We start from the raw sequence: 19,253 nt of genomic DNA, 5'->3' as shown, positions 1-19,253 counted from the left end.
CTGACTACAGGGCTGACTAACCTCATCATTCATCTTTCTAAATGTTTTTGCTATTGTGAGTGCTAGCATCATCAGTTATTTTAAAATTCTAGAAAGACATGGTTATAAGTACTGGTCCCATCTCATGAATTGCTAGTTTTGTGAACTTGTAAATAATTCATCATATTCATAAAAATAATAGAAATGAAAAGAGATTAACATATATATGTCCACAACTGTCCTTGTTAAAGAATTAATGTATTGAAATGTCAGTGAATCCACTTACTGAAGAAGTATGTATTGAGTACCAACTGTATGCCAATCTGTTTACTACTGAAGAGTATTTTAAAAAGGACCATCTACTCCAGGAGCTCGTAATGTGACAAGTCTGTCAAGATTCATGCTTGTGAAATAATTAACTACTATACTCATGGTAGTAAATAATTCTTGGGTTAAAAAGAATGTTTCTGGAAATAAAGTCTTGGGACACTTGGAGACAGATAAATAAAAGGAGGCCTAGATAGAAATCTTTACAATCTTATAGGGGAGTTTGACTTAAGAGGAATTTGTTCTTACAGATAAGTGAGATCTAAGAGCCAGAACAAAGATATAGACATAGGTAAGCAGTACAAGAGAGTAACAACATTAGTATCTTAAGGAGACTAAATTGCTGAGAGACTTAGTGCTAAAGGATATATAAATTATGTGACATATTTATACTTGAAAACTTCTGCATGCTTCAGAGACAGTGGTTTTACAGAGACTATGGCTAGCACAAGGAGGATGAGGATAAGCCTGTCTGTTGGGGTCACAGGGGCTCTAGCATCTTTGATATCTTTTACTAGCTCCGTGGATATCACAGTCAGCTAAAAAGAAGCATTGCTGGGACATTAAGGACTTGCCTTGATTTGAGGAGTTTGAGTATGTTCTGGTTGAGAAGTACCAGACTATGAGATCCCATTGTATGCATGAAAATAATAAGTTTCATGAACATACATTGTCCATGACTTCACTGACATGGAATACATTCTTTATTTGCTTGAATGGGTAATACATTTGTAGGTACTAGTAGCCTTTCGTTCTAGAGAGAGCACAGCCAAGAGATTCTGTAGGCCAATAGCTTTCCACATTTTTTACTGTGATCCACAGTAAGAAATACACTTTAAATCACAATCCAATATACACATTCATAACTATGTCTATATTAATATATACTAAGCATTTAAAATTGTTATAAAACCATACTCACTTTATATTTATCTGACTAGGAGTTAGGCTGTACTTACAGTTTACTATAGTTGTGGGGTAAGAGGCTGACATTTCCTTTACTGTCTTTGCTTTTGCTTCCACTGTTGTCTTTGAGTTTTCATAGAGACTCCTTCTGTAGGGCCTGAGGCTTACAGTTCTTTGAGCTGTAATCCCCAAGGAGGGAAAGCATTTGAGTCCTATGATTAAGTCTGTCTTATAGTGAGCTTGAGTTGGGTGTTTCTTTCCCCCATGTAGGTTATGATTTAGAAAAACCCCAGCCAGTTAGGATCTGGTAAATAGTTTCCCTTGAGGGTAGGCCTTGTTAAGAGGAACAGACAACTCTGGATGTATTTTAAAACAATTACTCTTCCCTCTTCCTGCCTGAGGGGATTTTTCTTCCATTTTTACAATGAGAACATAGTAGGGCTCCTAGAGGTAAAACTCACAAATGTGTGGAAGTCTCCTTAACATTGGATGCTTGAAATTTTTAACTCAAACTAGTCTGTACTGAACAGCCAGCAATTCATCAATTACAATTTAAAATATACCTATCAATAATGGCTGCAGCTTCCAGCTTCTCCTGTTGAGTTTCTGCTCCTGGTAAACTGTGATTCTCTGTATTCACCTGTCTGTCCCTTTAGTTTTTGGGGGAAGCAATTTACCTTTTCACATCAATTCTCTGATGAATCTAAGAGGAGCTGATTTTCAGTTTGTTCAGTTCCTTTTTCTTATTGTTAGTATGGGAGTGAAAACTTTCAAGCTCTTTTAATACTTACTTTATTATGTGCAATGCATGCTATTATTTTCTATTCTATATTATTGTATTGTATTTTATTTTAAAAGTTTTGGCTTATGACCCATTAAACTATTATGGTTATATAAGTGCTAAAAGGAAACACAATTGAATTTTTCTATAGCCTGAAAGTGGTGAAAACTTTGACTCTAGAAGCAATTAAAATAATAAATTTGATTAGATAATAATATAAATGTGACTATTAAAACAAGTAAAAATAAAGGCAAATGACAAACTGGGATAAAAATTTGCAACATATGTCACAGATAAAGGGTTAATATCTCAAACATATATATAAACTTTTAAAAATAAAGAAAAAAATGACATAAAAATGAGCTAGATATATGAACAGAGCTCATAGGGAAAATAAATATATATGGCTCTTAAATGTAAGAGAATATTTTACCCCAAGTCATACCAATAGAAGTGCAATTTAAAACTTCACTGAGTTATTATTTCTTTCTTATCAGATTGGAGAAAATCCAAAAGTCTGATAACATACTCTGTTGACAAAGCTGTGATGAAACAGGCACCCTAATACACTGTTTATGGAAACACAAAATGTTACCACTCCTATAGAGGGTAATTTGCAAATACATAGCAAAATTATGCATAATTAACAATCCCATTTCAAGGAATCTACCACAAAGATACACTGGCAAAAATTCACAAAGTTAGGTTCCCAAGGAATTCACTGAAGTACTATTTGTAATAGCAAAGACTGGAAACAACCCAAATGTTTATCCATAGGGATGGGTTAAATAAAACCATCCTGCATCAACACAATGGAGTACTTTGCAGCTATAAAAAGGAATGAGTAATATCTCTAGATATTATGATCTATAGGATATAATCAAATTTTAAAAGGAATGTTTATGATATGCTGACATTTATGAAAGTGAGGAAGAAACAACAAATTTCGGTGAGAACGTAGAGCAACAGGAATTCTCATTCATTGCTGCTGAGAATATGAAATGGTGGAGCCACTTTGGAAAACAGTTTAGCAGTTTCTTACAAAACTGAACAAAATCTTACCATACTCTTCAGCAATCATTCCTTAGAGTTTATCCAAATGAATTGAAAAGTCCTGTCCATACAAAAACCTTCACACAGATGTTTGTAACAGCTTTGTTAATAATTGCCAAAACTTGGAAGCAACCAAGATGTTCTTCAGTGGTGAATGGTTAAACAAACATTGGTACATTCAGACAACAGAATAATATTCAGCATTAAAAAGCAATGCACTATCAAGCCATGGAAAGACATGGAGGAAACTTAAGTGCAATTTACTAAGTGAAAGAAGCCAACCTGAAAAGGCTACATACTGTATGATTTCAACTATATAAAACTCTGGAAAAAGCAACACTGTAAAGATAATAAACGAGTCAGTGGTTACCAGGAGTTGGCAGATGGAGAGGGATAAATAGGTAGAGCACAGATAACTTTTAGGGCAGTGAAACTATTCTGTATGGCATTCCTGTCCTGAGTAAAATGATGAGTGCATGTCATTCTTCGTCAAAAACCCATAGAATGTACCAAGAGTGCACCATAATGTAAACTTTAGACTTTGGGTGAAAATGTGTCAAAGTAGTTTTATTGATTAAAACAAATTTGCCATTCTGGTGCAGGATTTTGATAGTGGGGGAGGCTATGCAAATGTGGGACAGGGAGGATATGGGAAATCACTGTGCCTACTGCTCATTTTTACTATAAACATAAAACTTCTCTAAAAAAGAACAGTCTTTCTAAAAAATAAAGTCTATTTTTTAAAAAACAGAAAAAGAAAGAAAGGAATCATAAACCATGCAAATGGTTACCAACAACAGCAAAAGAGAATAGAGTGGAGAGGACAGAAATAGAAAATGAATTTCTTTGAAAATTCCTTACTATATACAGTTGATTTTGGAAGTATGTAAATATTTTATGTAATTATAAGACAAAAATAAAGTTGAGAGGGAAAATCAAGTTTTAAAAATAAAAAATAAAGTTGAAGAAACAAGTGGTCTAGGTGCTGTGGCTCAAGCCTATAGTCCCAGCACTTTGGGAGGACAAGGTGGGAGGATCACTTGAGCCCAGCAGTTCAAGACCAGCCTGAGCAACATGATAAGACCCCATCTCTACAAAAAATTAGAAAAATTAGCCAGGCATGGTGATGTATGCCTGTGGTCCTAGCTACTTGGGAGGCTGAGGCAGGAGGATCCCTTGAGCCCAGGAGGTCAAGGTTGCAGTGAGCCATGGTTGTGCCACTGTACCCCAGCCTGGGTTACACAGTGAGATCCTATCTCAAAAAAAAAAAAAACAAAACCTCAAGAAACAAATGAGTGTAACATATCTAGTTTACTAACATAAACATACATTGAGGAACTATGTCAAGTGATTTAAAATACAGTAATTTGACTTCATATCTTTCAAATGACATAACCTAAGTACAAAGGACAAAGGATCTGCAACAAAAGGTCTGACATATTTTACTAATCATATTATGGGTAGCTAAATTTATATTATTATCTTGTAGTGTACAAAATCAAATGAGTAATTATGTTGGCATAAGAGATTTTTTGCATAGAAAAGGATACACATTAAGTTATAGGAGGTTAAGGAAAATCTCTCTAGTCCAAAATTTGAATTAAAAACATCAATATGAACTCAACTACTTTAAAAAAATATATGTAATTTTTTTCTAGTTTTCTAATTGTGTCTACTACAAAATTTCAGAAACAACAAACCTAATATCAATAAGCACTCTTAAAACACAGAACATGGTGTCTTAGCACCATTTTCCAATAAAAGGAACTAGCACTCTTTGGATAGATGGGTGATTCCAGTTCTGAAACAGGAAATGTATTGATGAGCCTGCAACATCTTGTCAAGCAGAAAGCAATGAAGTTATCAAAGACTACTAGGGACTTGATAAAAAACTCAGGGATCAGCTTGTCTTATTGACTTGGGACCTTGAGCATCAATAAGGCTAATAACTTCAATGAATTGAAGCAAATCCAATATATTTAAATATATTAAGTTCAAAATAATATTTTAAAAACTTCATTCATCATTATTATTTTGAAAATGGACTATACATCAGGAAAAGCAAATAACTGATGTCAAAAAGATTTACTTTACAGAGGTATTTCAGCTGATAAAGAAATAATAGAATTATGATATCACTATTTTGTAACCCCTAATAAATTAATAGATCTAGGGAATAATAATCAATGGCTGCTAACATCACTGAAAGTGAGACAAACTCTTGCTAAAATACCAAACACAAATCTGATAAAACTCTAGATCTAACTAACAATTTGCAGAAAATAAAGGGGTGGAGGAACATGTTGAATGGCATCATGGAAATATAATCAGAATGAGGGGAGTCAGAACTCTACAAGAGACCATCTGGTTTCTTTAATAATAATATAAGAGAGAGAGAGAGAAGAAATCTGCAATAAAAAGAATTTAGAAAGAAACCTATATTTTAAAAAGAGAATAAAAAGACACATCAACTAGTTGCAATATGCGGATTTCATTTGAATCCTTATTATTTATTTATTTATTTACAGAGACAGGGTCTTGCTCCATCGCCCAAGCTGGTGTGCGGTAGTATAATCATAGCTCACTGTAGCTCTAACCACCCAATGGGTTCACCTTGCCCACTGCCCAGGCAGAGCCAATTTCTCAAGACAGGGGAATTGCAACAGAGAAAGAGTAATTCATGCACAGCTGGCTGTGTGGGAGATCAGAGTTTTATTATTACTCAAATCAGTCTCCCCAAGCATTTGGGGAGCAGAGTTTTTAAGGACAACTTGGTAGGTGGGGGAGAAGCCAGTGGGCCTGGAGTGCTGATTGGTCAGAGATGAAATTATAGTGAGTTGAAGCTGTCTTCTTGTGCTCAGTCAGTTCCTGGGTAGGGGGCCACAAGATCAGATGAGCAAGTTTATTGATCAGGGTGGTGCCAGCTGATCCATCAAGTACAGGATCTGCGAAACATGTCAAGCACTGACCTTAGGAGCAGTTTAAGGAGGGTCAGGATCTTGTAGCTTCCAGCTGCTTGACTCCTAAACCATAATTTCTAATCTTGTGGCTAATGTTAGTCCTACAAAGGCAATCTAATCCCCAGGCAAGTATGAGGTCCGCTTTGGGAAAGGACTGTCTTTGTTTTAAACTACAAAGTAAATTTCTCCCAAAGTTAGTTCAGCCTATACCCAGGAATGAACAAGGACAGCTTGGAGGTTAGAAGCAAGATGGAGTCAGTTAAGTTAGATCTCTTTCACTGTCTCAGTCATAATTTTGTAAAGGTGGTTTTGTAGCCTTTAATTTCTGGGTTCACGCAATCCTCCTGCCTCACCTTGGCCTTTCAAAGTGCTGGGATTATAGGCAGGAACCATCATGCCCAGCCTGGACCTAATTTAAAAAAAAAAATTTTTAATTACATTTATGAGACAATTGAAAATATTTGTATGAATATTTCTGATATTTAAAAATTATTTGCTGAGATAAGGATATTGAGATAATATTTGAAGAAAAAATATGCGTAGCTACATACATTCATATATAAACAGACACACGCACCGGAATATTTACAGACAAAATTATATGAGACTCAGAATTAGCTTCTAAATATTGCAGGGGAGGGGTAGAAAAGAATGTGGGTATTTAAATGAAACAATATTGGCCATGAGTTGCTAACTGCTGGATTGGTGAAACTGGGTAATGCATACTGTCTCATTTGTACCCAAGGGATTTTAATTTAAGGAGGTGACTAAGTCCTGGCACAAAAAGGCTAAAGCCATTGGAAGATTTTTATTACTAATTTTCTGAAAGGAGGGGGCACGTCATGCCACACAGGGCCATAGGGGAAGCACCAGTGTGGTCAGGAGGCAGAAGACAGGAGCAAGAGAAAAATCTAGCCCAAAGCCTTTATTTGGGGTTTCCATGGAAAAGGCAACGTATGGCAGAGTAAATAGCTTAAGACTGGCCAGTTTGAATAATTCTGGTGGGCTCTGGGCTATAGAGATGGTCTCTAGTTGACTGGTACCTGGCCTTGGGATGATTTTGAGCAGGGGAAATATTGGCTCAATGCATGAGAGATAAAGAGATGGTTGGTTTGCATATGAGAGTCATGCTCCCAAATAAGTTGTTTATGACCTTTAAGAATTAACAGGTCTTGGCTGGGAGCGGTGGCTCATGCCTGTAATCCCATCACTTTGGGAGGCCGAGGCAGGCGGATCACCTGAGGTCAGGAGTTCGAGACCAGCCTGACCAACATGGAGAAACCCTGTCTCTACTAAAAATACAAAATTAGCAGGGTGTGGTGGCGCATGCCTGTAATCCCAGCTGCTTGGGAGGCTGAGGCAGGAGAATTGCTTGAACTCGGGTGGCAGAGGTTGCGGTGAGCCGAGATCATGCCATTGCACTCCAGCCTGGGCAACAAGAGCGAAACTCCATCTCAAAAAAAAGAAAAAAAAAAAAAGAATTAACAAATCTTGGGAGGGGCAGTCTCTCCTCAGGTGTGTAAGGCCCCCAAATTCCAGAGCATCAAGAACACAGAAAAGAAAATACAGTTAAGAAAGTTGGTCTGGGCTGGGCGCGGTGGCTCATGCCTGTGATCCCAGCAGTTTAGGAGGCTGAAGTGGGTGGATTACTTGAGGTCAGGAGTTTGAGACAAGCCTGGCCAACACGATGAAACCCAGTCTCTAATAAAAATACAAAAATTAGCTGGATATGGTGGTGCATGCCTGTAATCTCAGCTATTTGGGAGGCTGAGGCAGGAGAATCTCTTGAACCTGGGAGGCAGAGGTTGCAGTGAGCCAAGATCACACCACTGCACTCCAGCCTGGGCAACAAAGACTCCATCTCAAAAAAAAAAAAAAAAAAAAAAAAAAAAAAAAGTTTGTCCTGTGATGAATGTATGCCAAATAGAGAAAGAACCTAAGAAAACACAGAACACATACATGGTGTACATTATACTGTTTTCTCTATTATTATATATTTTGAGATTTTTCAAAATAAAAAGTTTTTAGTAAACTAGGAAGAACATTAGATAGCATGAGTGGACTGTGTTTCCAAAGAGCATTACAATAGCACCCATTATATTGGGAAAAACTCTCAAACCGCATCTTTCCTCTACTCTCACACCAGCCACAACAATCAACACAGATGACTGCCATGATCAAATACGTGTGTGTGTTTCTCCTCCCAACACCAAGCAGCAGACACCAGCTAGGTGTCCTCCAATTCAATTCTGACACTGTTTACCTGGAGACAGTGTCAGGTCCCACAGGCTGGGGTCTCAGTTTACAAGACTGCACCTGCTCCCTTCAGACACCAATCTCAAGTCTGAGCTTCTGGAACTTCTGACCCACTGGCTTCAAGTTGGGGTTCCCATGACCCCCTCTTTGGGTTCGATTAATTTGCTGGGATGGCTCACAGAACTCAGGGAAACACATACGTACATTTGCTGGTTTATTGTAAAGGAGACTACAAGGGATACAGATGAAGAGATGTGTAGGGTGAGGAATGGGGAAGGAACGTAGAGCTTCATGCCCTCCCTGGGCCCACTACTCTCCAGGAACCCCCACATGGTCAGCTATCCTGAAGCTCTCTGAACCAAGTTTTCTTGTGTTTTTATGGAACTTCATGACATCAGCGTTCCTTCCTCCAGGGTGTAGGGCAGGACCCTCTGAGGAGGGCCTTAAGATTCACAATCAGAAAGGCAGGGCAAGAGTAGAGTCCTGCCTTGGGGCAGGTGAATGTTGGGCAGGAGAAGGTCATAGGCCTGTCCCTGAGGTCTAACACACCCAACATTATTTAAAAATGACTGTAACAAGGGCTATGGGGGTTAGGAGCCAGGAGCTATAGATGAAAACCTATATATACATATAGGTGTATATATATATATGTATGTATGTATCTTGTGTAATACCCTATAAGCACAGGCAAGCAAAGCAAAAATGGACAAATGGGATCCATAAAGTTAGAAGGCTTCTGCACAGCCTTCTAATTTATATATATAAATGGGTATATATATCATAACACATACCCATTTGACATGCTCTTTTGGAATATGACTGTTATGGTTTGAATGTCCTCACCAAAACTGATGTTAAAATTTAATTGCCACAGTAATGGTATTGGGAGTGGGACTTTTAAGAGGTGATTAGTCATGAGGGCTTTGCCTAGTTTCTCTACCACTGAATTTGCACTAGTCTTAGTACCTATTTTGATCAATGGCAAATGTTATGCTTTGTGACTTCTGAACCTGGGCCTTAAAAGTTATACATCTTCTATTTTTACTGCTTATAATGCACCTTCAGTAAATTCAGCCACTATGCTTTGGGGAAGCCCAGACAGCCACATGGAGAGAACTCTGTGGGGAAAAATCAAGGTCTCTGATGACAGCTCCAGCTGAGTGCTGAGTCCTCAGTCAGGAATCAGCAAATCTCCCACCATATGTGTGAGACTATGTTAGACCTCCAGCCATCCCAGCACCCTCAAGACACCAAGACACCTCATGAAGAAGAAAAACTACGTAGCCAATCCCTGACTTCCTGATCCACAGAACCATGGACAAATGAACTATTTTTTGTTTTAAGCAATTAAGTTTGAGGTAATTTGTTACCTAGCAATAAATACTTGAATGAAAAATCTAAGACTACCTTGCAAAGATAATTATTTCCCTATGAAAAGAAAATAAAGAACTCTAATACATGTGTAATCTTTAAATAAATTAATGAAAATAAAGAATTTCATTTAAACACACATAAAAATTTACTTCATGATCCATGAAAGGGTTCAATTTCATTCTTCTGCATATGAAGATCCAGTTTTCCCAATATTACTTATTAAAGATACTGTCCTTTTCCCATTCTGTGTTCTTGACATCTTTATCAAAAATAAATTGACTGTAAATGAATGGATTTATTTCTGGACTTTCTATGCTGTTTTATTGGTCTACGTGTGTGTTTTTATGCCATTACCATGCTGTTTTGATGACAATAGCTTTGTAATATACTTTGAAATCAGGTAGTGTGATGCCTCGAGCTTTGTTCTTTTTGCTCAGTTGCTTTGGGTATTTAGGGTCTTTTTTGGGTCCATATGAATTTTAGGATTGTTTTTTTCTATTTCTGTAAAAAATGATGTTCGAATTTTGATAGGGTGGCATTGAATCTGTAGCTCACATTAGTTAGTATGGACATCTTAATTCTTCCAGTTCATGAACGCCAGATATCTTTTATTTGTGTCATCTTCTATTTCTATAGTTTTTAGTATACAGATATTTTACCTCCTTGGTTAAATTTACTCCTAAGATTTTGATTTTTTTAAAAATGTTTATGGATACATAGTAGGTGTATATATTTATGGGCTACTTAAGATATTTTGATATGGCATACAATGTGTAATAATCACCTCGGGGTAAATGGAGTATACACCACTTGAAGGATTTGTCATTTCTTTGTGTTACAAACATTCCAACTATACTATTTTAGTTATTTTTAGATTTATAATAAATTATTGTTGACTAAAATCACCCTGTTATGCTGTCAAAGACTAGATCTTATGCATTCTAACTATATTTCATACCCACTAACCAGCCTCACTTACCCACTCCCACAACCCTTCTCAGCATGTGGCAACATCATTCTACTCTCTATCTCCATGAGTTCAATTGTTTTGATTTTTAGCTCCAGCAAATGAGTGAGAACATGCAAAGTGTGTCTTTCTGTGCCTGGCTTATTTCACTTAACATAATGTCCTCAAGTTCCATCCATGTTATTCCAAATGATAGGATCTCACTCTTTTTTTATGGCTGAATAATACTCCACTGTATATATGTACCACATTTTCTTTATCCATTCTTGTGTTGGTGGACACTTACCTAGATTCCACATCTTGGCTATTGTGAGTAGTGCTGCAATAAACATGGGTGTGCAGATATCTCTTTGCTATATTGATTTCCTTTCTTTTGGGTATATACCTAGCAGTGTGATTGTTGGATCATATGATAGATCTATTTTTAGGTTTTTGAGGACCCTCCAAGCTATTCTCCATAGTGGTGGTACATTCCCATCAATAGTGTATGAGGGTTCCCTTTCTCCACATCCTCACCAGCATTTGTTATTGCCTTTCTTTTGGATATAAGCCATTTTAATGGGCATGAGATAATATCTCACTGTAGTTTTGATTTGCATTTCTCTGATTATCAACAATGTTGAGCACCTTTTCATATACCTCCTTGCTATTTGTCTTATTTTGAAAAATGTCTCTTCATATCTTTTGCCCATTTTTTAATCTGATTATTAGATTTTTTCCTATAGAGTTGTTTGAGCTCCTTATACATCTGGTTATTAATCCTTTGTCAGATGGATAATATGCCAATATTTTTCCCATTGTCTGGGTTCTCTCTTTACTTTGTTGATTGCTTCTTTTGCTGTGCAGAAGCTTTCTAACTTTATGCATCCTATTTTCCATTTTTGCTTTGCTTGCCTGTGCTTGTAGGGTATTACACAAGAAATATTTGCCCAAACCAATGTCCTAGAGAGTTTCCCCCAATGTTTTCTTTTAGTAGTTTCATAGTTTTGAGGTCATAAATTTGTCTTTAATCCATTTTGATTTGATTTTTGTACATGGTGAGAGATAGGAGTCTAGTTTTATTCTTCTGCATGTTGATGTCCAGTCTTCCCAGCACCATTTATTGAAGAGATTATTCTTTTGCCAATGTATGTTTTTGGCACCTTTGTTGAAAATGAGTTCATGGTAGATGTATGGATTTGTTTTTTGTTTGTCTCTTCTGTTCCATTGTTCTACATATCTATTTTTATGCCAGTACCATGCTGTTTTGGTTACTGTAATTCTGTAGTATAATTTGAGCTCAGTCATGTGAGTTTTGCTCTTTTTGCTCAGAATGGCTTTGGTTATTCTGGGTCTTTATGGGTCCGTATAAATTTTAGGATTGTTTTCTATTTCTGTGAAGAATGTCCTTGGTATTTTGATAGGGTATGCAGTGAATCTGTAGATTGGTTTAGGTAGTATGAACATTTTAACAATATAATATTGATTATTCAAATCCATGAACATGGAATATCTTTCTATGTTTTCAGCATCTTCTCTAATTTCTTGCATCAAAGTTTTATAGTTGCCATTGTAGAAATCTTTCATTTCTGTGGTTAAGTTTATTCTTAGGTATTTTATTTTATTGTAGTTATTTTAAATGGGATCACTTTCTTGATTTCTTTTTCAGATTGTTCACTGTTGACATACATAATAGAAATGCTGTTGGTTTTTCTATGTTGATTTTGTATCCTGCAACTTTATGAATTTATTTATCAGTTCTAATAGTTTTTTGGTGGAGCCTTTAGGTTTTTCCAAATATAAAATCATATCCTCTGCAAAAGAATAATTTGACGTTTTCCTTTCCAATTTGATGCCCTTTATTTCCTTCTCTTGTCTGATTTATCTAGCTAGGACTTCCAGTACTATGTCGAATAACAGTGGCAATACTGGGCACCCTTGTCATATTCTAGAACTTAGAGGAAAGGCTTTCAGTTTTTTCCCATTCTGTATGATACTAGCTGTGGGTCTGTTATGTCCGTTATGTCATATATGGCTTTTATTATATTGAGGTATGTTCCTTTTATACCCAGTTTTTTGAGGCTTTTTTTGGTAAAGGAATGTTGAATTTTTTCAAATGCTTTTTCAGCTTCAATTGAAATGCTCATATGGTTTTTGTCCTTCATTCTGTTGATGTGATGTATCTCATTGGTTTGCATATATTGAACCATTCTTGCATCCCTGGGATAAATCCCACTTGATCATGTTGAATGATCTTTTTAATACCTTGTTTAATTAAATGTGCTAGTTGTCAGGCCTCTGAGCCCAAGCCAAGCCATCACATCCCCTGTGACTTGCACGTATACGCCCAGATGGCCTGAAGTAACTGAAGAATCACAAAAGAAGTGAAAATGCCCTGCCCCGCCTTAACTGATGACATTCCACCACAAAAGAAGTGAAAATGGCCGGTCCTTGCCTTAACGGATGACATTACCTTGTGAAAGTCCTTTTCCTGGCTCATCCCGGCTCAAAAAGCTCCCCCACTGAGCACCTTTCGACCCCCACTCCTGCCCGCCAGAGAACAAATCCCCTTTGACTGTAATTTTCCTTTATCTACCCAAATCCTATAATACGGCCCCACCCTTATCTCCCTTCGCTGACTCTCTTTTTGGACTCAGCCTGCCTGCACCCAGGTGATTAAAAGCTTTATTGCTCACACAAAGCCTGTTTGGTGGTCTCTTCACAGGGACTCGAGTGAAACTAGTATTTTGTTGAGTATTTTTGCATCAATGTTTATCAGGGACATTGGGTATAGTTTTCTTTTTTTGACATGTCTTTGGTTTTGGTATCAGGGTAATACTGGCCTCATAGAATGAGCTTGGAAGGATTTCTTTCTTGGGTTTTTTGAATAATTTGAGTAGGATTGGTATTAATTCTTATTTAAATGTTTGGCAAAATTCAGCAGTGAAGCCATTGGGCTCAGGGCTTTTCTTTGCTGGGAGACTTTTTATTACAGCTTTTGTTGTTGTTGTTGTTATTTTGATTCTACAGTAAAAACAAAATCAACGGCCAAATGACTCAACTGCGATTGTGCCAGTGAGAACCTCAGGAGCCTAGCAGAAGATAACGCTGGGAAGGGTTCAAGGAGCTAAGCCGAGAGTTTTGGCTGCCCACCACAGGTAAGAGAAATTTTGGAGTTTAAGTCTAGCCAAGTTAGAAGGGCTTGGTAAACACTTCAGGCTTTCCATTGAATTAGGAATAGAGACTACATGCATCAAAAGAGCATCAAGACTGAAACATAGACTTGTCTTGACAGGAGAAAACCAGACCTCCCCCAGTTAAAAGCAATCTATCTGTAATTTAACTGCCTGCTAGAACAAGACTTCACCACTTTTCAGAGGAAGATCGAGAGTCTCTGCAATCTATTACTCAAAGCATAACAAAAAAAATTACTAGACATGTGATGAAATGGGAAAATGTGACTTATACTAAATAGAAGGTGACCAACCAAGGACCTAGGTGTTAGAATTAGCAGAAAGAGACTTTAAAATAACTATGACAAATATGTTAAAACATCTACAGGAAAAGATGGATATAACATATAAAGAAATGGGTAAATGAAGACTAAACATATAAAGAAATGGGTAAATGAAGACTAAAGATTGGAAAAGCAGAAATGAAACTGATTTTATTCACAGACAACATGGTTCTATATGTCTCCAAAAATCTATTAGTCCAGTAAGTGTATTCAGCAAGGCTGTAAGATACAAAGTCAGTATTTCTATATTGTTTCAATGAATAATTGGAAAATAACATTTAAAAATATATACCCTTTATAATAGTGTCAAAAATATAAAAATGTATAAGTTTAAGAAAAGGTATAAAGGATCTCCACTTTGAAAACCACGAAACAGAAAAAAAGAAATTAAGAAGCTTAATAAATGTATGTATATGTCATGCACTTGGTTGGTTGCAAGACTCAATATTGTAAAGCTGTTCTTCTCCCCTAAGTGATCGGTAAGATTGACGTACTTCTAACTCAGAATGGGTTCTTGGTGGAAATTAATAATCTAACATGAAATGTTATGTTATATGCAAATGCAAGGACCTAAGATAGTCAAAATCTTGAAAAAAGTAAAAGAAAAATGTTGGAGGACTTAGGATAACTGATTTTAAGACTTATTATAGCACTACAGTAATTAAGACAGTGTGTTATTTGCTTAAGAAAAGGCCAATAGATGAATTAAACAGAATAAAAAATCCAGAAGTAGACCTTCCCATATATTCAGCCAATTGACAAATATATTGGCAATTCAATAGGGGAAAGAAAATCTTTTCAGTAAATGATGCTGGAACAACTGCATATCTGTATATTCTGACCTGTATATCACAATGTATTAAAATTTTACCAGAGCCAGGCTCAGTGGCTCATGCTTGTAATCTCAGAGCTTTAGGGGGTCCAGTTGGCAGGATTGCTTGAATCCAGGAATGCAAGACTAGTTGGGCAATGTAGTGAGACCCTATCTTTAAAAAAATTAGCCTTAAGTGGACTGTTAATCTAAAAATAAAAGAGAAAATTGTAAAGTTCCTAGAAGGAAGCATAAAGAATATCTTTGCAGTCATGGAATAGGCAATGATCTTTGATATATAAAAAGCACCAACTATAAAAGAAAAAAAATTATAAAATGGACTTTATCAAAATTAGAAACTTCTGCTAATCCAAAGATACTTTTAAGAAAATGAAAATGTAACTCACTACCAAGGCTTAGCGGAATTATATTACACAGGTTGGATGTAATGAAGAGAAGGGTTTAATGAAGGTCTCTTCATTTTAGATTCTTGCAGAAGAAAAATAAATAAATATGATAAATCTAAAAAGTGAGACTTGAAAAATGGGCAAGAGAGGTGGAAGTTTAAATACTAATGTTAATATCATCTTACTCACATGAAAAGTGTAGAGATAAATTTGACAGTTGATGGAATAATCAGTAGCAATTTCAGTATAATATTTAAAGCTAGAAAGTAACAAATAGAAATCAAAGTAGTGATATAATTATTAAAACTGATAGTAAGGAAAAAGAAATAGGAAGTAAATGAGTGAACTAAATCTTTACTCTCTGTAGCTGGGAGCCAACAAATGATATCCAAAGTTGATAAACCAAGAAAATGTCAGTAAAATCATGTTATTTGGAGTCATCTGTGTAAATAATTGTGAGAAAACAAACATTTAACCTCTGGAAAACTGGTTTAGGAATGGAAAAGAACAGAGAAGGGAACTTTGCTTTTTGTTTTATGTCATTATCTAACATTAGGTTTTTTCCCCATGCATGTGTATATATTGACTTTTTTTAGACAAATATGGTAGATAAATAGATAGATAATAGGAAGGGGGGAGGATAGGATGGAGAGAGGAACACCTACATACCTAGAGGTTCTCACTGCATAGTGAGATATCAGGTGATTTTTTCTTCATTATATCTTTTTGTATGGCTTGGATATTTTACAAAGAGTAGGTAATATTTTTATAAACATAAGACGAAAATAAACTGTTTCCCCTTTGTAAAAAAAGAAAATCTTAAATTAAAACAAAAATCAACCTTGCTGAGTATTTTATTGCCTCCTGGAAAATAACATCTGGTAGTTTTGGAGCTATCTTGTGGGAAAACACTTTTCATAATGTCAAAGTATTATTAACTTCTTGATTTGCATCAGTGTGTTACATTGAAAACAAACCACTGTTCTTTCAGTGGATGAAGTCTGGAGAGTCCTCAGCCTCAAAATGCCAGGTAGGACTGAAGAATAGTTGCCTACTACTTAAGCAGAAAGTTCTCACAATAATAGAATTGCTGTCAAATAACATTGAGTTCTTTGCAATTGCTATGGAAGTAAAGAAATCCAAAAAATACCCTTATGGTAATGTCTTTACAATTTGTACTGACATAAGCTCTTTTGGGATTCTTCTCTAAGATTAGGTTTACACCCATAATTATGTCATCATGTATGCAGAAGTGTCATTTTTTGCTCAGTTCATGTAACTTGTTTATAAGCCTGGGAGAGCAATAGCCAATGGTGATGTTCAGAGCCATCTGCCACTTAGATACCAAAGCCTGTCATAGTGTTCCCACTAGAACTGTGATGTTGGTTCATCTATATCTTAAATTAGGTGTGTAGGGAGTAAATTACATGCCCATAGGAATGCATTTTATAGCAAACAGAGTAGTATTCCAAAAACTAGTCATCAGGTTATCTTGGCTATTGTACATGCAGCACATCTGGGAATTATTCTCAGGAAAACACTGGGTAGAAGCTCTGACTAGTGGCTTGGACTTTGTTTGACTACTGCAAGGACTGGAAAAAAAATATAAAGCGCATATAAAGCTACATTGTGTAATCTACCAGAGTTTACTCCAGGATACTAATACTGAAACCCTGATCATGAATTTTCATTGATTTTGTTAGATTATATTAATGGGTTATGATAGACTCCTTCACAAATGGCATCAAAATGTTTCCAATTCTCTCATTTCTTTAGTCACAAATCTGGGCCAAATATTTACAATATAATTTTGGCTATAGATTGCATTTTCTAAAAATTGAATTTCTAAGAACCTTGCTTAAAGAAATACAGCATAATAGTTAAAAGCAGGGATTTTGAGGTCAGACAACCTGAGTTTGAATCTTTTAAGCTCTATTTGCTGTATGACTTTACTCAACACACTCAGTGTGAACCTCAGTTTTCTCATCTATAAAATGGAAGTAAAGTATAAATTATAGAGTGTTATAAAATTAAGGTAATTTATATAAATCACCTAGGGTAATGATTCCCAAGTTGTGTGCACATTGGATTTTCCTGAGGAGTTTCAAAATATGTTGATCTCTGTGTCTCATCCCAAGTGATTGTGCTTTAAAATTTTTTTTAAGGTCCCAAGTAATGCTACTGTGCAGGCAAGTTTGGGAATCCTTGACCTAGTGCATAACAGTACCTGCATACAGGTGCATATGGTCCAAGTGTTTTATAAACATTATCTAATGTAAATGTTTGTAACAATCCTAACAAGCACTCACCGTAGTATCTTCAATTTCCAAGTGATAAACTGAAATTTAGAGATATTTGGTAACAGAAGCAAAGCCAGATAGCTACTACAAGGCAGAGTCAATATTTAAAGCCAGTTCATCTGAATCCAAAGTTTAGGCTCTCAGTTATAATGCTGTCTAGCTTCGAGAGAATTTCCTATTCGTAAATTTTTCACACTCAACTGAGGTAGAGTATATTGACAATATCACTTTCGCAAAAAGGAAAAGACCTAGAGTTAATAGTACCTACTCAGTATGTCATAGAAACAACCCACTTTTTAATCACTTCTCACAGGCATGGTCTCAAGCTAATGGTTGGGCTGAAAGGATGGGAAAGACTACTGAGGATTGTTGCAGATAATTGGATAAGAAGATTAGCTATGTTTCTCATTTATAAACATGTCATTTCATGTTACTAAATAGTCCTCAATCCTATTGAATTTTTAATGGAGTTTTGCATTAAAACTCCCTCAAGTTTCTTTCTAGATGCATCAGGGACTCAAAAGACAAAGGTAACTTCTGAAAGTTATACTCAGCACTTACTTGTCATGTATCTATACTACAGTAATTAGTATTTATCAAGAACTGGACTAATGTGGGTTCCAGCCACAATAATTGAAACATGGTCTATGTTCAACAAAGTCCAAGATACAAGTAATAAAACATCACCATATATTACCTGTGACCACATCCCTCACAGAGCCATCTTGAACTGAATTTTTGATTCCATCTTCTCAGGACCAACTAGAATAACTGAGAGATGTTTTCTATTCTCTGCCATAATACCTGGGTAACCAACTAAAGAAGAACAAAGTTGGAAGACAAATACTATCTGATTTCAGGGCATGATGGTACTCAAGATAGTACAGAATTGGCATAAAGACAGACAAACAGATCAATGGAACAGAATAGAGAGTCCAGAAATAAATCCATAAGTGCATAGGCAACATTTTTGACAAAGGTCCAAAGGCAATGCAATGGAAAAAGGATAATTGTTTTCAACAAATGTTTCTGAAACACTTGACTATGCATATATAAAAAGCCTACTCTGATTCATACTCTTTACCATATACAAAAATTAAGTCAAAATGGATCAAATATTTAATGTAAAACCTCAAAACTAAAAAACTTCTAAATAACAATATAGTATAAGAACTTTGAGATCTTGGGCTTTTGGTTAGACAAATATTTCTCTTTTTTGAGACAGGGTCTCATTCTGTTGCCTAGGCTGGAGTGCAGTGGTGCAATCACAGCTCATTGCAGCCTCAAATTCCTGGGCTCAAGTGATCCTCCTGCCTCAGCCTCCAAAGTACAGGCATGCACCACCACACCCACCTAATATATTATTACTATATTATTATTTGTAGAGACAGGGTCTCACTATGTTGCCCAGACTGATCTTGAACTCCTCCTGGCCTCAAGCTGTCCTCCCACCTTGGCCTCCCAAAGGCACAATCCATAAGAGAAAACAATAAAATGAAATGTAATATGCGCAAATCACATATCTGATATGGGACTTAGAATATAAAAAGAACTCTCAAAACTCAATAATAAGAAAACAACCCATTAAAAAAAAAAAGAACAGATACTTCATCAAAGAAATATATGAATAGGAAAT

General features: G+C 36.0%; 1 long non-coding RNA gene across 3 annotated transcripts in view; it reads left to right on the top strand.

Annotated features, from left to right (window-relative positions):
- Positions 1-19,253, top strand: part of LOC105375704 (uncharacterized) — a 177,474-nt gene that overhangs the window by 120,397 nt on the left and 37,824 nt on the right. For all 3 annotated transcript variants that reach the window (XR_928530.4, XR_928529.3, XR_928528.3), the window contains exon 2: positions 13,613-13,740. This is a non-coding gene — a long non-coding RNA (uncharacterized LOC105375704). The remainder of the gene's footprint in view (positions 1-13,612; positions 13,741-19,253) is intronic.

The sequence above is a fragment of the Homo sapiens genome, chromosome 8, assembly GCF_000001405.40.
Source record: "Homo sapiens chromosome 8, GRCh38.p14 Primary Assembly".
In the NCBI taxonomy this organism is placed as follows: domain Eukaryota; kingdom Metazoa; phylum Chordata; class Mammalia; order Primates; family Hominidae; genus Homo; species Homo sapiens.
The sequence above is the reverse complement of the archived record's forward strand: the minus strand, read 5'-3'. Positions and strand labels throughout refer to the sequence as shown.